This window comes from Homo sapiens, chromosome 18 (genome assembly GCF_000001405.40).
Source record: "Homo sapiens chromosome 18, GRCh38.p14 Primary Assembly".
NCBI lineage: Eukaryota > Metazoa > Chordata > Mammalia > Primates > Hominidae > Homo > Homo sapiens.
In genome coordinates this window covers 75361197-75379178 of record NC_000018.10, presented here as the reverse complement: position 1 = coordinate 75379178, position 17982 = coordinate 75361197, and the positions used below count along the sequence as shown (strand labels likewise).

Below are 17982 nucleotides of genomic sequence, written 5' to 3'. Positions count from 1 at the left end.
GCCTTTTCCTCTTCCGCCTGCCCCAGAGTGGAAGGCCCCTTGCTGAGGCCCTCAGCAGGGGCAGCTGGTCCCAGCTTGAAGTCAGAGGCCCAGAGCGCTGCACCCTGACGACACCGTGGATCCAGCTCCCTGAGCTCAGTGACCTTGCGGTGCCTTATTGCTTTTCACTAATTTCTCTGGGCAATTGTACACTTTTAGGCATCTCGTTTAACAAATTGTTAAGCTCTTTATGCTATCAAAGGGGTCATGTGATGTCAGAAGGATTCTAAGACACATTCCCTCATTCACAATTCTCCGGCTAATATGAGAGGCATTAGGAGGAGTGTGAAGAGCCAGCACATCTTCCCTCTCCTCTCTGCCCGGGTGACCTCCAGAGGGCCGTCTGCTCCCCGGAAGGCAGGGCCCCCACCCTCTGAGCTCGGCCTGCGAGCTGGCGATGCAAGTCAGTCTGCAGCTCAGGGGGAGATACGCTCATATCAATGATAGATAAATCCCAGCTAGAAATACAGGTCCCTGACAACCTAATCACTGAAACCCTGTCAAGTAACCCCTAATTTTGAAGCGAGTGGTTAATTCCCAGCAAATTGATTTATGCACTGTTTGAGGTTTGGCGAGTTGTGTTGTTCATCTGTGATTACCAGGAACTCGGCTCTGCCTATTCATTTACAGCACTGACACAACCCAGTGCATCGCCCAAGAAAATCTCCTTTGTCAGCACATCTAGAATTTGCTAATTAAATCAACGATGACATTATTCACTTTCTCAGGAAAAGAAAAAAACACAATCCCTCCCCCCAACCACCAGGCTTTTTTCTTTCTCCCACTTTCATCCTTTTCTCTCTCTGTCTCTTATTCTCTTCGCTGCAAGTCTGAGTTTGGTAAGCCGCAAGAATCTCAAAGTTTAACTGGTCTCTGCTGGGTTTTATTTTGTCTGCAAACAGCAAACTAATGGTAACATCCCACCATTCAATTAGGAATAAACAGGCACACACACAGCTGCACACGAGTGCGCACGCGCTAGCACGCCCACATAAGCATGTGCACACAGCACAAGTCCACATGCAGGACACAGCGACATAGTTGCCTTTAGGAAAAATATGATGATTCTGAGTATCTTTGAGTCTTGCTTTTTCATTTTTATACCAGAAGTGTGGATTTCATTAAAATGAAAGAGTTGGCCAGGGCTACATTCATTGTCTGTATTATTGCAGCTGAAGTGAACTCGAATGCAAGGAAGGACAGGCTGTCCCCCGGGCTCAATAATTACAGGGCCATAGTATCGCTGCTTCTCTTTGGACTCCAAGTTGTAAGAATTTACAGAAGGGCTAGAATGAACTATTTTACACATTTTGGACGTTTTAAGTCACGTTTCTTCTTAAATTGGAATTTTGTTTTCCAATTTATGGAAATTAAAAGGTAAAACAAGGGAAAGAAGATCTAGATACTGTTTTGTTGTTTTAATGATGATCTAGAAACTTCTCTCCTGCTGCACATAGGCAAAATGAGAGCTAAAATCAGAAGCAGAATAATTACTTTTCAAAACAATATTATTTATGTAGTCTCTTTTTTAACAATAGCCTTAGAGTTTTTAATCCTTAGCAAGAAATTGGGCTTTTTTAAAAAATACTTTTAATTCACTAAGAAGACCACAGTCAATTCACGGTCATGTGAATTGTCATGTGAGATGCCAAGTGCACGGTCCTGTGGTATTTGAAAGGTCAGTGTGGTTTATGAGTGGAATACTTGGGCACCCAAATGACCAGGATGAAGCTGCTGGGGCCAGGGCTGAGAGGTGTTTTTCCTGGAATACATCTGCTCCATAGGCTTATCTGAAAACAGAACAGACATGGTCTGTTACATTTGTTCCTTTGGTTCAAAGTTTTAGCCTACAAAAAAAAAATAGTACCTGAAAGAAGTAATATATTTACAAATAAGTGAAGCTTTAAAATAACAGACTCTGCATCAGGCATGGTCCAACCAGGAGTTAAATGCAGAGAAGCAGCCAGGTAGGTAATGGAGTTGCTTAAGAGCCAAATAGGGAACATTAAGGCAGCCTGTACATTTGTAAGAGCAGAAAGTCACAACAGCTGGAGGCTGGAGGGACAAAGGAAGGCCAGAACAAGATCACCCACAGAGAAGACCCAGAGAAGACCCAGCTCCCCAGGCAAAGGGGAAAGCACACCCAGGCCTCTCCCTCTGACTCCCCCGCCTCTCACCCATGCCCCGAAAGGGCCAGACCTAGCCAATGGCCACCGAACCCTCAGCCCAGGAGATGCAGCCTTCAAACACACAGAGGGCAGGGGAGGGTGAGCAGGCTCCCCATGAGATTCAGCAGCAGAGAGAGGGAAGATTGGCCAGAACAGTTATTTGTCACTCAGGACAAGTGAGAGCTCTGCCAGGTGCCACAAAGAATTCAAAAAGAACCAACCAGGGACGTGTGCTTGAGAGGAGAGAATATGAATTTAGGAAAGTCCCCATGGACAACTTATTCCACCTCTCAGACCCTTAACTTTCTTTTGTATAAAATGAGATGACAAAGTCCACCTCACTAGGAGCACAGTTAAAACCAATAATCACTTGTAGGTTTCCTTTTATTTCCTCCTCCCCAAGGAATTAACAATTTAGAATATAATATACCAATGTCCTAAAAGTAGAAAATGTAACACATTGTTTTCTCTGCCTGTGATTTGTCCATCCCAACCCCTCCAAGGAACTCCAAGTGCCTTGCCATCTCTATATAATTAAGTCCATAAATCTCACATTCACATTTGCCTCTTACCTGTCACCTACCCCCGCAACAAGCCTACTCTGCTCCAATCACAAACACATCAACTTAAAGATCCCTTAAAGATCCCTTCTTTCTGACATTTTACTCTTTAAATCAGGGCTCTGCAAATGACTGTCTGCAAGCCAACTCCACTGTCCTCCTGCTTTTGTAAATAAAGTTTTATTGGCATACAACCACACCCTCTTTGTTTGCATATGGTTTGTGGCTGTTTGCACGCTACAATGGCAAAGCTGAGTCATTGTGACAGAGACTGTGTGGTCCAAAAATCCTAAAACATGTACTGTCTGCCTCTTTATAGAATAAGCTCGATGATCCCTGTTTTAAATGATGGCTCTAAATGCATCTGCTCCCTTGAGAATGAATAAACATTATTCATCAGTCTCTGCCCTTCTTTAAACACATTTGAAATTCCATCACCACCATGATTTCCCAGGCTCATCCAGGTAAAGCCAGTGCCTTCTCCACACCTGCCTGTGCCAGGTGTGGACTTAAGTCTTTATTTCTGAACCTAAAGGAGAGTTTCCCCTGGTACAGGGGCTTCACATTCCAGGGCCTTGGGGTCTTGCTCAGCACCGTACCAACTGGCTGCATGAGGCCTAGCAGGAAGTGCTTATTTAGGAAGAGGTCAGAAGGTAAGTGGGAAAGAAATCCACCCAACCTGACATCTGGCTTGGTAAAGAGAGACGGAAGATGCAGGTGCCTCGGTGAGGTGAAGTGTGCAGACACTTGCCAGACCCCATTAGCAGGCTCCAAGACTGGGAACCATGGAGGAATGTAGGGAGAAGTAGAATCCAAGAATAGAGCACTGAATACTTGGAGGATGGCACAGGCAGGATCTGGACCGCAGACATTTGTGGGAAACAAACTTTCTCCCCCGCAGCCAGAGGACACCCAAGATGCAGACAGGTGCAACCACGAGCTGTGACTATTTGTGCAATTTCATGGCAGTCGCACATGTATTTGTAAAGTGTGCTTCTGCTCTCTATGCTTTGTTTATAAAAATAGGGAAAAGAAAGATTTGGACTGTGATGGTTAATTTTAAGTTTCAACTTGACTGGGCTAAGATATGCCCAGATAACTGGTAAAACATGATTTCTGGGTGTGTCTGTGAGGGTGTTTTGGGAAGAAATTGGCATTTGTGTCAGTGGACTGAGTGGAGATCACTCTCCCCAGTGTGGGTGGGCATTGAGGGTCTGTTTAGAACAAAGAGGTGGAAGGAGAGAAAATGTGTTCTCTCTGCTTGAGCTGGGACCTCCCTCTTTTCCTGCCCTCGGACATCGGCACTCCTGGTTCTCAGGCCTTCATACTTGAACTGAATTACACCACCAGGCTTTCTGGGTCTCTAGCTTGCAGATGGCAGGTTATGGGACTTCTCAGCTTCCATAACAACTGGAGCAAATTCCCATTATCTGTGTATCTCATCCTATTGGTTCTATTTCTCTGGAGAACCCTGATTAAGACATAGACTATATCTGCATTATCTTTCCTTTATCAGAAGGTGGCTTTAGACATAAGTTGTGTCTACATGAAGCCAAACAAGAGGACGGTACAGGAGAGCACTCAGTCCATTGGCAGGTGGTTTGGTCTCCATGGGCGAGACCAATCGGCATGTGCTGGTGACGGGGCTGACAAGGTGCTAAGTGTGCTGGCTGAGCCAAGGCTTCTTTGTGTCAGTAGCAACAAGCCCCACTTAGCCTCTGCCCAGCTACCAAGGGCCAGTGGTCCAGACTCTGTGGTTTCACTGAGCGTAACTTAATTGGAAATTTTTGCAAGTTCCAAACCACATTCTTGTTTATAAGAAAGGTGACTGCATTTGTTGACTTAAGTCTGCATTTCTGAACCTAAAGGAGAGTTTTCCTCAATGCATTGCTTACTAATCAACTTTTTTTCTAGCTTGTCATTTTGTTTAATGTTGCAAAACACGGCAATTTTTTAAAGTAGGATCTGATTTTGCAAAGAGATGTTTAAACTTAAGTGAAATAATGGATGTAACAAAATACCACCAAATATGACAGCTTTGTTCTGCCAATGTAATTTGCTGATTCTAGAAACCAAATGCAGAACAGTCTGTGCCATTCTCAGAAAAGAGCCGTGCATGACAGACACAGAGCTGGGTAAACGCCGGCGCGCACTACATTAAATAGCAGACTTCTGCATTCGGTTTTGCTTTTTATCCACTTGTCATAGCTAACTCTTTAATAATACTCTACTGTTCCTTCCAGCCTGGAGCCCAGGAAGGCGATCTCACATTTTAGCAAGAATATGATATAATATAATGATGCTCCCAAATTATTTTATTTGTAATAATCTTTGTGATGATATTTCAGGAAATCGAGTGTGGCCCAAAGCTCATTTTCAGGAGATGCCACATCAGTGTTTAGGAGACAGACAGCAGTGTTGGCCTCAAGAGTCATGCACATTCACGACATGGAAGCAGGCCTTGAAATGCACATGAGCTCAGAGAGGTGGATCTGTGGCTCCCTCATCACTGCAGAGTCTGGAAACACCAGGAAAGAGGCTCTTCAACAACAAGAAAAATAACAACTGACACCTAGTTTTTTGCCATAAGAGCCCTAGCATACAGCCCCTCTAGAAAGAAAACTAAAAGATAGACATAGATTTGAAATTGATCAGGGAGTCAGAAAACTATGACCTGAGAGCCAGTGCAGCCCACCGGCTGTTTTTGCAAAATGTGTTATTGGAACACGTCCATTTGGTGACACATTTCATGCCACAATGCTGGAGGTGGGTAGGCAGCAAAGACTCTGAAATATTTACTATGCCACCCTTTGAAAAAAGTTAGAAAAGCCCTAACACAGAAGAACATGGATAAACACATATGTAGGTAACAAATCGTACCCCTGATAGCTCACAATGAGAGGGTGGTCTCTTCCACACCAGACTGATAGCCCTTCTCATGCTGGAAACTGTGGTTTGTCATTTCTTCAAGGGCAGAAGTTGTCTTCTCCTCCCCGTTCATCTCCCACAAGAGCTTCTCACTCGTGAGGGGGCGGGAGTGTGCAGTGGATCAGGGTATGGGAAATTCTTTGCAAATTGTCTTCCTTCCATTTCCTATGTTCCTTTGCAGTGTGACTTTGAAGCTCTTCATATCATGAGGTGAAGTCTTTCCCCACCCCTTGAATCTGGGCTGGCCAGTGACTTGGATTGACCCATAGAATGTAGCAGAGGTGGCAGCAGGCCAGCTCAAGGCCCAAGCTCCTGAGGCCTGGAATGCCGTCACGCTTCTGGAACCTGTGGCCTAGCCACCACCTGAGCAGGCCTGGGCTCACCTGCTGGAGATGCCTGAGTGAGCACAGTTGAGACCAGGGGATCTGCCCACTTGAGTACAGCCCACATTGCTGACCCATAGAATCGTGAGCTAAACAACATATTGTTGTTTAAAGTCACTAGTTTAGGGATAGTTTGTTATGCAGCACAGCTAACTGATACACAGGCAACACCGCCAAGTTACCCTCTTCAGCAGGCAGATTTCCAATAGATATAGCCCACTGGTGAGATGGAATCATGGAACCCCTCAGTTCAGAATATTCCTTATGGAGAAAATAAGGGAAGTGAGCTGTTTTAAATCCAATGAGCACGCATGTAAATCACCCATCAAAAATCAAAAATAAACTAAAACAAGCCCTAGTAAGTGGTAGCAGTTGTCCACTTCAGAATAAAAATAGGGATGTCTACTGATCTTGTGATCTAACCACATTTTAGAAGGGTCTCTCTGGCAGAACTTGGGTGAGAGGGAGCAATAGGAAGTGGGGAAGCCTTAATAATTTATTGAAATAGAAGGGACCTTATCTAGGCCCATGCACAGCAAAGGAGATGAAGTGGGGATGGTTGCAATAAATAAATTGGGAGGAGAACGGAGCTTGGGAGTGATAAACCCCTGGTGAAGTTGTTGAGTGTGGGCACCCATGAGATACATAAGTCAAATGATGTAGTGGAGAGCTGGTGGGATACATTCATGCTCTTGTGCAGTGAACCTTCTTTGCATTTCTACTTGCCAGACACTTGCTTGCTGCTTCACTTGTATCATTTCCATTTACCCTCAAAGCAGCTCCACAAGGAAATACCTCATTTTTCAAAATGAGAAAACTGAGGCAACTGACGCCCCACAGTCATGTCACATGGACTGCTTTATTCGTGGGATCTTAGAGTCATCCCACCTTAAAGCAGCCGTCAGGAGACACGTGGCGGCCTCCCCCATGGGTACCCATGACCTCACTTCTGCAGGAAGCCTGTCTCACAACCTCCCTGAGAGGTGGCCATTGGATACACAGCTTCTACTTAAGTCTTCCCAGGACGGGAGCTCAGTGACCTATGAGGTCACCAACTCCAGTGTTCATTTATGGGTGATGCTAATTTATCCAAAATTTATCCATCAACATGGATTGCACACCAGACACTGTGGCTCGTGCTGAAGTTGTGAAGAGGAGTGAGACACTCTCCATCCTTAAAAAGTGCAGCTGCTGTAACACTCAGTCTTAATATAGAGGAACCTGGACAAGGTGGGAAGCCCACACTCAACATGGAAAAAGTAGTATGGAGGCAGAGCCCAGGTGGGGGAAATGTCCTTAGCAAGAGACCAGGATATACAAGAAGTTTCTAAGGCATCACGTGGGAGCCCAGCTTAAAGAAAGCAATACTTGAAGTATTATGGAGAATTAAATGCTGGCATCCTTCCTGCTGTCTCCTAGTGCATGCGTGAAGGTGCCAGGTTCTAATGAGCATGTATTGAGTGCCTGGAGCACACACTGCAAGAACAGAAAAGCTCATTTTATTGAGCACTTGTTGGGTGCTGTATGTCTATCATATCATTTGACCCTTGCAGGAACAACCTAAGAAGCAGGCTTCATTACTATTACCATTCCCATCCCACAGATGAGGAAACCGAAGCTCAGACAGATGAGGTGACCTGCTCAAGGTCACATAGGCAGTACATAGCAGAATCAATATTGAACTCAGGTCTGTCAGACTCCAGCCTAGATTCCCAAGCATTATGCTGAAGTACCCATCACAGCCGTTCTGTCAAATAAAAAAAGGAAAAGTATGGAGTTTTTCATGTTGGAATTTGGGAAGCAAACCACATCTGCATCACAACACAGATCGCAGAGTCAAAGGGAGCTCAGTGTGTCATGGGATTGGCTCCGCTGGGCTTGTTGGAAATTAGAAATCTTAGCTAGAGGCGAGACTGCAAACTAGGAAGAGAAGGCAAATGGAAAATTGGGGTTGAGGTCATTCCCTCCACAGAGGTGCAATGGCAGGAGCCGGTAAGACCCAGCAGGAGGCAGGAGAGGGTTGCAGGAGGTCAGAGAGGAGGGGGCTTCTGGGTCGGGGAAGCAAGGTCAAAGAAGAATGGAAGTGGGCTGAAGAAGGATGATGCAGAGCTATTGTGGGCTCCACGCAGGGGAGTAGCTTGATGAAAATAGCATTCTTGGAAGATTATCCTGCCAGCTATGTATAGGACGAACTGGAGCAGGAAGTGGGGACAGCAGAGAGCCTCGCCTGATGGCTGCTGAGGCTCTCCAGGCATGGTGCAGTGAGTGGGAGTGAGACTCGCAGGGGCAGGGGCCCAGAGGAGAAAATGCACCATGGAGGCAACCGGGAAGAGCACTCAGGACGGCTGCCAGCTCCCTGCGGCTTACAGATGCCGCGTTCCAGGGCCTCCACAGGAGTTAAGCCACTGATGCCACAAGAAGACATTGATCGAAGACATCATTTTATCAATTTTAAGACTACCCATGGCCAGGTGCCATGGCTCGCGCCTATAATCCCAGCACTTTGGGAGGCCCAGGTGGGTGGATCGCTCTCTACAAAAAAAAATGCAAAAAGTCACCAGGCGTGGTGGTGTGCATCCGTGCTCCCAGCTATCAGCAGGCTGAGGTGGGAGGATTGCTTGAGCCTGGGAGGTCGAGGCTACAGTGAGCCATGACCTTGCCACTGCACTCCAGCCTGAGCAACAGAGCCAGACCCTGTCTCAAAAAAAAAAAAAAAAAAAAAAAAAAGACTATCCATGACCTCATATAGGAGAATTGTTTTCGTCATACAAAAGTTTGGTCGGGAGCACTGCTTTTGGCTATGTCTGCCCAGACAGACATTTGCAGTTGTAAATGTGTAGTAGTTCTAATTCTACCAATTATTTCGCCTATGGCTACAAGCACCATTCCCAGTGATATTTCCCCCAGTGGTGTGTGTGTGTCTGAGCTTCTCATGGGATGGACCATAAGGAATGAGAGTCCTGTTTCATGAGTGGTCGGAAGACAGGACATGTGATGTCACTGGCTGTCCAGAGAAATTCTTATCTACAAAACTGATGTCTGGAACCCATAGCCAAGAGTGGACAAAAAACGTACCAGGACTTCATGAAAGACAGCCACACACACGCAGGGCAAAGCATCACAAAACAGTCTCATCCACAACTTCAGTGAAACTAGGTGCCACTAGCTTATTGGCAGGGACTCGGAGATGCTGGTCCCCATGGAAGTGGGCTGGTTCTGTCTGAGTCTTTCAACAAGACCTTTCTATCAAAGGATTGGGGTCTGGAGAAGTTTGAGGGGGATAGGGACAGAGAGCAGGGGGAGAGAAGGGAGTGACAAGACCAAATGCCCCGCTTTTCAGGACATGTGAGTTTCCAGAACAGCTCCCCAGCTGCAGACACTCAATAAATCCTTCTCAGGCCATGTAGTTTATTTTCTATGAAGCCAAATTAACCTTCAGTGTGATTCAGCACGGGGACAAAGCCTTAGCAATATCGGCAAATAGCAAGAGAAAGATGCTCTGATCCTGAGTGGCAACTAACTGTATTTACACGCTTGAATGAAGAGCAGCATTGCATCAGCTTTTTGGTCTGAAGGTGTCCAGGACAAACAGTGCTCATGGCCATCTCTGTGTAAGCAGGTTCCCCTAGGAACAGGAGAGGACAGCTCTCTACCACTCCCAGTGTTTAGCCCAGTGAAGCTAAAACCACGCTCCCCACAGGGAAAGTCTGTTATCTGAGAGGAAGCTTCCTTCCGGGACTCCAACATCTCTCTAAGACCTCTTCCAGATCTGCCTCGGTGAAGACCAAGGCCGTGGTGTGCACTGTAGATCCACCAACCAAGGCTAGCACCACCCGCCTGACAAGCCTCAGAAGAGCAGCCAGTGCCTGGGCTCTGGGAGCCGCCCTTGGATGTCATGACCGCGGGTCTCAACAACAGCGATGGGAACGCAGGGCGGTGGAGGTGCCTGCACGGCACCACATGGCCAACAACCAGTGTTCGGTGGATTTCCCTGCATGGTATTGATTTCTGGAACTCTGGGTGCTTGGTCAGATGAAGATGGGAGGGGACTGATTGCTATTTCCCAGGTCCGAAGGGTGGCCAAGGGGAAGAGGAAGTGATCCTACTGGGCTTTTCGGGGACAGGACCGTGACATCAGGAAGCAGATTTTGGTAAAGGAAGAAAGAACTTCCCAATCATTAGACTGCCTGAGAAAGGAATGGGCTGACTTGTGAGGCAGCGTTCCCTGTTGTAAGAGGTATTTAAGCAAAGGTTCAGTGAATCGTCTGTACAGAAGATCTGCCTCAGGCACACAGGCTTGAGCTGATGTTGGAGCCCCTCCCACACAGGGCATTGGCATGTCCTCTTTGAAGCCCCCACAGAACTGTTGTGAGTCTCCTGGAACTGCCATAACAGTGTTCCACCAACTGGGTGGCTTCAGCAGCAGAAATGGATTGGTTCGCAGTCCTGGAGACGGGGCTAAGTCTAAGATCAAGGTGGCTGCAGTGGTGCTGGTGATTGCTGGTAGTCGCTGGCACTCCTTGGCTCATACAAGCATCACTCAGATCTCTGCCTTCATTTTCCCCTGGCATTCTCTCTGTCTCTGTCTGTCTGCAAATTTCCCCTTTTTATAAGGACACCAGTCACATTAAATTAGGGCCCACCCTGATGACCTCATTTTAACTTGATTACCTCTACAAAGATCATGTCTCCAAATAAAGGCACATTCTGAGGTAGTGGGGGTTAGGACATCAACATATATAAACTTGGGGGAGACGCAATTCAACTCATGACAGAAACCTTTCTGATCAGGGCTAAGTCACCGCATATTGTTGACCTGAGGTGTGTGGCTGTTTCAACAACCCAGGAAGACAAAACTGTTAAAACCTGAGGCGGCAGCAACACGAGGTAAACTTTTTCACAGGACTGCTGCCACCCATGAAATGAGAAAGGCCTTCGTTTCTAAGCACCTCATCCGAGTTCCAAGAATTAAAGATTCCCCTGCAGCTCACTGCATATGACACGTGTGGCAGCTGAGAAATACGCAGTCACTGTCAGCGCTTCCCGAACTCCCCAGGAGCCCCTGGGAGGTAACGTTCCCCTCCATCCCCAGAGAACCTCCCTGTGCAGCTCACTGCCCATGTGCGTGGTCCACAGAGCCACACCCTGCATTCCCATGACGGCTTCACTGTCTGTCCTCCCACGCTGGGTCCTCCATCACACTCCTTCATGCTTCATGTGACAGCCACCATGAGACGACTCCTTGACATAGTGAGGCGTTTCTGCAAGTTTCCATTTAAGTTAAACAAGGCCAGCTTATCCGGGGTCTTGTTTTGACACTTGGTGGTGTGGGTCATACTGGATCCAAAAAGAAAAGATATGTCCACGTCATAAGCACCGATACCTGAAAATGGGACCTTACCTGGAAATGGGGCCTTTGCAATCAAATTTAGATGAGGCCATACTGGACTGAGGTGGGCCCTATTGCAATAAGACTTTGTGTCCTTCTAAGAAGAGGAGAGACACAGAAACACACAGGAGAAGGCCACGTGACGACAGAGGCAAAGACTGGAACGATGCGTCCACAGGCCAAGGAACACCAAGGATGGCCAGCAGCCCCAGAGCTGGGAGGGAGGCCTGGGATGGCTTCCCTAGAACCTTCAGAGAGAGGAGGGCCCTGTCGACACCTAGCATTTGGACTTCTAGACTCCAGACCGTAAGAGAATGGACTTCTGTTGTTTTAAGCCATCTAGTGTGAAGGATTTTGTTATAGCAGCCCTGGGAAACTAACATATTTAGGATGAGGATATAGCAAGATGTTATTATAATAAGAATAGTTGAGGCCGGACACGGTGGTTCATGCCTGTCATCCCAGCACTTTGGGAAGCCAAGGCAGGTAGATCACTTGAGGTCAGGAGTTCAAGACCAGCCTGGCCAATGTAGTGAAACCCTGTCTCTACCAAAAATATAAAGAATTAGCTGGGTGTGGTGGCAGGCACCTGTAACCCCAGATACTTGGGAGTCTGAGACAGGAGAATTGCTTGCATGCCACTGCACTCCAGCCTAGGTGACAGAGCTAGACTCTGTCTAAAAAAAAAAAAAAAAAAAAAAAAAGAATAGTTATACTATTAATAATGAGAAAATGGCAATGTAAGGCTTCCTCTGTGTCCCGCATTTCCACCAACCCTTAGAACAGCCCCATAAAGGAAGTACCTCCGTTATTAACCCCATTTTACATACCGGAAAACAAAGCGACAGGCAGGTTAAAATGACTTGGTGAAGTTCATACCAGTAGACAGGGAGAGAACGGTGAATCAATTAAAGGCCTTTTGGATCCAAAAGCCCAGGCTGTGTTCCAGAGCATTTACCTCAGCACAAGATATGCATATATTTTGCAAATAACAAAGATTTATACCAAATTTATAGACAGAGATAGCATAGACTCTTTGCCAAAATTCATAGTGCTCCCCATTTTGGAATGATTTGCAAAATTATGATTTGGAATTTGTCTTTGATTTCACCCAGAAATATTGACACACATGCTGTTATGGCAAGGCAAAACAGTCCTCATGCTTCGTTCTCCATGAATCCAGAAATTACATTAACTGCATTTGCTGTAATTCATCCAAAATTTAAAATAAATATGAAAAGCATTGCTTTTTTCTGAAGCTATTCATCTCAATATAAATGCAATTTAGATATTTAAATATATCATACTATATCTATACTCATACCTTGAGCCTTTATAGAAACCGTGTTTCTAGTGTATGTACTTCAGTATAAAAAAATCAGGTTTAAAAATATCATTTTAATAAACATTTATCAATTCTTATCCAGCAGAAAAGGAAAACATATTGTCTCCTCTTATCTTACACTGGCTAGAATATATAAATTCATATTACCAACAGCTTCATTTTTCTTGCTTCCTTCTTCCTTTTCTTCCATGCAAATATGCACTTTGGGGGGATTTGCTGTATTAATCAGAGTTTCTTGACTTAGCACTGTTGACGTTTGGGGCCAGATCATTCTGTATTGTGGAGTACTGTCCTGTGCATTGTAGCATGTTTAACAGAGTCCCCTCTACCCACCAGATGTCAGTGGTGAGCCCCACCCCAGCCTGCCCCCCAAAAAACATCTCCAGACATTGCCAAGGACTCTTTGGGAGGAAGGGACAAAAGTGCCCCTGGCTGGGAAATAGGCACATTTACTATAGTGGAAATAGGTATGTTTCCAAATTCTTTCTGGTGTTAAGTTGGAAGACTGAATATTGAGCTTGGAATGAAGCCATATTCAAATAAATAATAACTTGGTAAAGAAATTAAAAGAGTAAACAAGTAGTAAATTTTCAAGCAAATTCAACATTTCTCCCCCCAGGATTCAGCCATCTCAGGGCCTTTTTCTAGGGAGTGGGGCCCTCCCCCGGAGGTGGGGGCTTCAAATCCCCCAGCTTCTAAGCCCAGGAGGCAGCCCCAGAACCCATGTTAGGCCTTCTCTTCCCTCCACTCCCTCAAAGGCCATGGCCCCAGGCTAACCTGCGGGGAATGACTGAGGAATCGTGTCTTGTCTGAACTGCTCTTGAGACCTCCAAAATAACCAAACCTATGGTGGCAAAACAATTGCAGTCCTAAAACAACCCGATGAGGTCCCCACAGAAGTCTTTGTTAAGAACTTTCCCTGGGCCTGACTCTGTGCTGGCTGTGTTTTCCAAGAAGAATGGGCAAACGGGCCCTCCCACTGAGAAGTACTGACCACATGAAAAATACCACAATGCATGGAACAGAGGTGCAGCTATTAGGGGTACGGTGACAGCCAAGACGACTGTGGCCTCCAGACTGCACACTGCACCTAACACACAGTAGGCGCTCTCTCTGTACTTGTGGAGTAAATGATAACTTAATCTTGCAATGCGAAAATAAAAGCAGCATTTAGAATGTCAGTGTGAAAATGCCGTGCTGTTGTGACCTGATCCAACTGCACATGGTGGCTGTGGTCAGTGCTGGTGGCTCCCAGGGTGAGGACAATGCCGACAGTGTACCGAGGAGAGAGAAGGAAAAACAATGATGAGAAGAAGCAAGACCAAAATGATTGAGCAACACCTGAGAGATATGTAGAGGAGAGGACTCAGGGGGGCTAGACCGTCATTTTCAAATATTCCAAGACCTACCAAATGCCGGGGGGGTAGGCTCAGTCCAGATGGTCCCAAGGGACAGAAGGAGGACAAATGCCACACCTGCAAGGCCACTCTCAGGCATCAGCAGCCCAGCCTTGCTTAATTACGTCACACGACCTTTCCAAAGACGTATGACATCAGTCTCCTTTGAAACTGCAGAGATGGCAGGGACTTCCCGTTCACTCAGCGAGCCTCCCCGTGTTCAGATAAATAAATGTTGAAGTTATCACATGCTGCTTACTGAACACACGAGTTGCCAAATGAGGCTGGCTACTCACTGATTTTGTTAAGCTGTGAGTACTTGAATTCAATACAGAACATATTGCCTCTTGAAACACAGTACAGAAAGCCATTTTCATCATACTGGTACTATTCTGAATCAGCTACTCAAAGTTGCCTTTTGAAACTGCCTTTCAGAGGACACCCTGATGTATGAGCCCACGTGAGTTTTCTCATCCTCATGTTTGACCGTTGTTAATCCCTCAACAACACTGTTGTTTACTTTGGTATTCGACTTCCTATTTCAAATGCTGGGAGACATCTTTACAATTGCAACGTTTCCTGAACATACAAGTTTGTTATAGCAGCAGTCTTCTGGGTTCTTGATTTCTGCTGCGAATCCCAGAGAACTAATTAAGCCAGAGCCCTTTCCACTGAAAACCTTGCCCTGTCACTGTCTGCTGCCAGGGGAGCTAACTGGCAGCCATTACACTGCCTGGAATGGGGTAGGGGGGCAGGGGCAGGAGGCCAATTAGTTTACAGCAAGGTCCATGAAGAAGCAAGCTAATCATAATGGAAAAACTTTGGAGGCTGCTCCTCACGTGTTTTAATCTTTTGAGGAAGCTGGTGAATTACCTGTGTATTTCTGGACTCTGCCAGTTCCACACCTGTGCTGCGTTCCACTCTGAGCTTGCGTATACTCCCTTGCTTCATTTTAAAGGTACTGTGTGAGTTCCCACAGCCTTGGGCACCCGCATGTACTGAAATCTGCTGGGCACTAATGTCTTGTTTGAATGATTTCTGCAATGACTGCTGTTCAACTAGGCAAATGCCCTTTGAAAGGGCAAAACCAATTCTCTCTTAGATCAACTGGGGGTGAGACATAACATGGAAAATTCCAGTATAGGTAATAAAAAAAAAAAAAAAGCTATTCCTGAATAAGTTCCATGCTGCCGTTTGAATTTATGCCCCTGGGGAAAAGTCGAAGAAATCAGAACACACAGCTCATTATTATTTGTGTAGATTATGCAAACTTTACCTTTTAGAAAAAAAATGACTAAGTTACAGAGGATCAGGGAAAGAATCTGGACTGTATTTAAGTGAGAGGGATTAGCTAGCAGGATGTTGATTTATAAACGGCAACAACCAATTCCTTATATTCTCCACTGCGGTCATGTCTCCCGCACGGTAATTCCCAGCGTTCCTTTTGAAAGCCCTTGGTACTCAGTTAGCCCCGAGGTATAATGTTTGATAATATAACCACTGCTTCTGTCACTGCGTTTTGTACAAACGCATTATATGTGGCCCAGAATGGTAAAGATTTATGTATGGGTATGGAAAATAGAAATCAGCATTGATTAAAAGCCCCAGATAGACCATCCAATACCGCCCAAAGAACATCAGTTATTTTGCATTTTGACGTGGCGATTGATAACTCATAAATGCAAGCAGGAATGACAAATGCGGATGGAAACTGGCTTTGACAAAAACGATAACAGTATCAGTCTCGAGGGGCGATGGAGGTATAAGCAGGAGCTGTTTAAAATATTTAATCATTTTATGAAGGCTGCAAGATGTTGTTTGACCCTGAAGGAGTGTGAATGTCACATGGATCAGAAATTGCCAAGTCTTTGAAGTGAAATTAAAAAATGGTGTTATTATAGATCTTTCTTGACATCCTATCACTTTTGTATAGGATTAAATATATGTATACAAAGCACCAGATAAAGGACTCCGGCAAAGGATGTCTTGGTTGAAGGGACAGGAAGTAAAGGCATCCTGGTCATGAATTTTTACTTCAAAACCCCAAAGCATTTCTTTCCTTTGCTTTTCTTTTCTTTTAAAGAGTTCTTAGTAAAAAGATGCCATTGGTTTTTAAATAGAGGGTAAACCATCCCTTACTTTTGTTACCTGGGGTCCAGCTGTTGGAATTTCTTCTCTCCTTTTTCCCCAAGCATTCTACCTCTCTTGGGTATTGTGTTTATAGCATATGTTTCTATGTGGACAGTCATACTGAGCACTTACGGCTGTAAATAAACCTGGGTATATTTACATGCTGGGGTTTGCAGGGCCTCACGTGGCCCGTGGTGCATCGGTCATGGAGGCTCCCAGCTGCCGTGCTGCTCGGCACCCAGCAGCTCCTCCAGCAGCCCAAGCCACGGTGTTCTCACAGGTGGCAAAGCGGCTCGTGAATTCCCAGGACTATTCCTCACGGTTCACTCCGGAGCAGCAGCAAGTGGACTGTCACGCTGCTCTTTGTCTTCCCTCTCTGGTGTTGCTTTTCCGGGCTTTCCCCCATCTTGAATTTTCCCCTGTTCCTATTTTGTTGTGTCTGTGGGATGTGGGTGTTGGAAGTGGGTTTTTTCAGAAGGACTGTTTTTTCTCCTTTCTAGGAATGTGTGGCTCCTTACAGGAGCTGGTGTTCTGTGATTCCGAGATATTCTTGTTTTACCCATTTTGAACCACTCTATAGAGTTCCTGGTGGCTGGAACTTACTTCATCCTGGCTGATGGATTCTGTTTTCTGGGATGGGAGCTGCACACGCAGACACACAGAGCAGAGGGAGGGCTTGGGCGGTTTCCTCTTTGGTGCAAGTGTGCATTTCCTCTGTATTCATGGGTTCCACCAACCCGTGTGCAGGGTGCAGGGGAAGTGAGCGTTTGCTGACTTCGTGGAGGGGTCACTACCTGAGTGAGGCTTTCTGACCCCCCACTTCCCTGCAACACACACACACACTCACATGCAGACACACTCAGACACTCATCACCTCACACACACACCTTTACATACATGCACACTCACACTCACTTACCAGACACACTCAGACACTCATCACCTCACACACACCCTCACATACATGCACACTCACACTCACTTACCAGACACACTTAGCCACTCATACACACACCACCTTGCCCATACACAAACACATATAACCATACACTCACACTCATGCAAACACAGCCACTCACACGCACTCATTACTTCACATATGCAAATTCACACACTCACATTCACACTCAAGCCACACTCACCCACACTCAGCCATTCACACACACTCACACTCCCTCACACTCAGCCATTCACACACTCACACTCAGCCACTCATGAACCCTCACACTCGCTCGTGAGAGTCTGAGTGACTCTCTCACACACACTCACACATATGCACACACACTCATGCAGACATAGACACACACACATCACCACACACACAAACACACACGTCCTCACACACACACAAAATCATACAAACTCACACACACTTAACCACTCACACACACTCATCACCTCACACACAACCACTCACGCACCCTCACACTCACTCGGAGAGTCCCTTATGAGTGAGTGACTCACGTGCACGCACACCCACGCTTACTGGTGGTCACTGCTCTCCCACACTCAGGACACCATCAGGAAGAGGGTTGTCACCAGTGCTTTGGTCCCAGTCTCTCTGTGTTCATCTGTTTATTCTGCTTATGCCTGGAGGACATGAAGACAGAGCGTGGCCGTGGAATGCCCCCCCGACATGGCCT

The 17982-nt window shown here is 46.1% G+C and overlaps 1 annotated feature.

Moving 5' to 3' along the window:
• Nucleotides 220-720: an enhancer, noted in NCBI's record as "H3K4me1 hESC enhancer chr18:73090414-73090914 (GRCh37/hg19 assembly coordinates)". NCBI's record gives its function as "activates a minimal SCP1, AML or CMV promoter by ChIP-STARR-seq in naive H9 embryonic stem cells {active_cell/tissue: H9 hESC(naive)}" and the evidence as "EXISTENCE:reporter gene assay evidence [ECO:0000049][PMID:30033119]".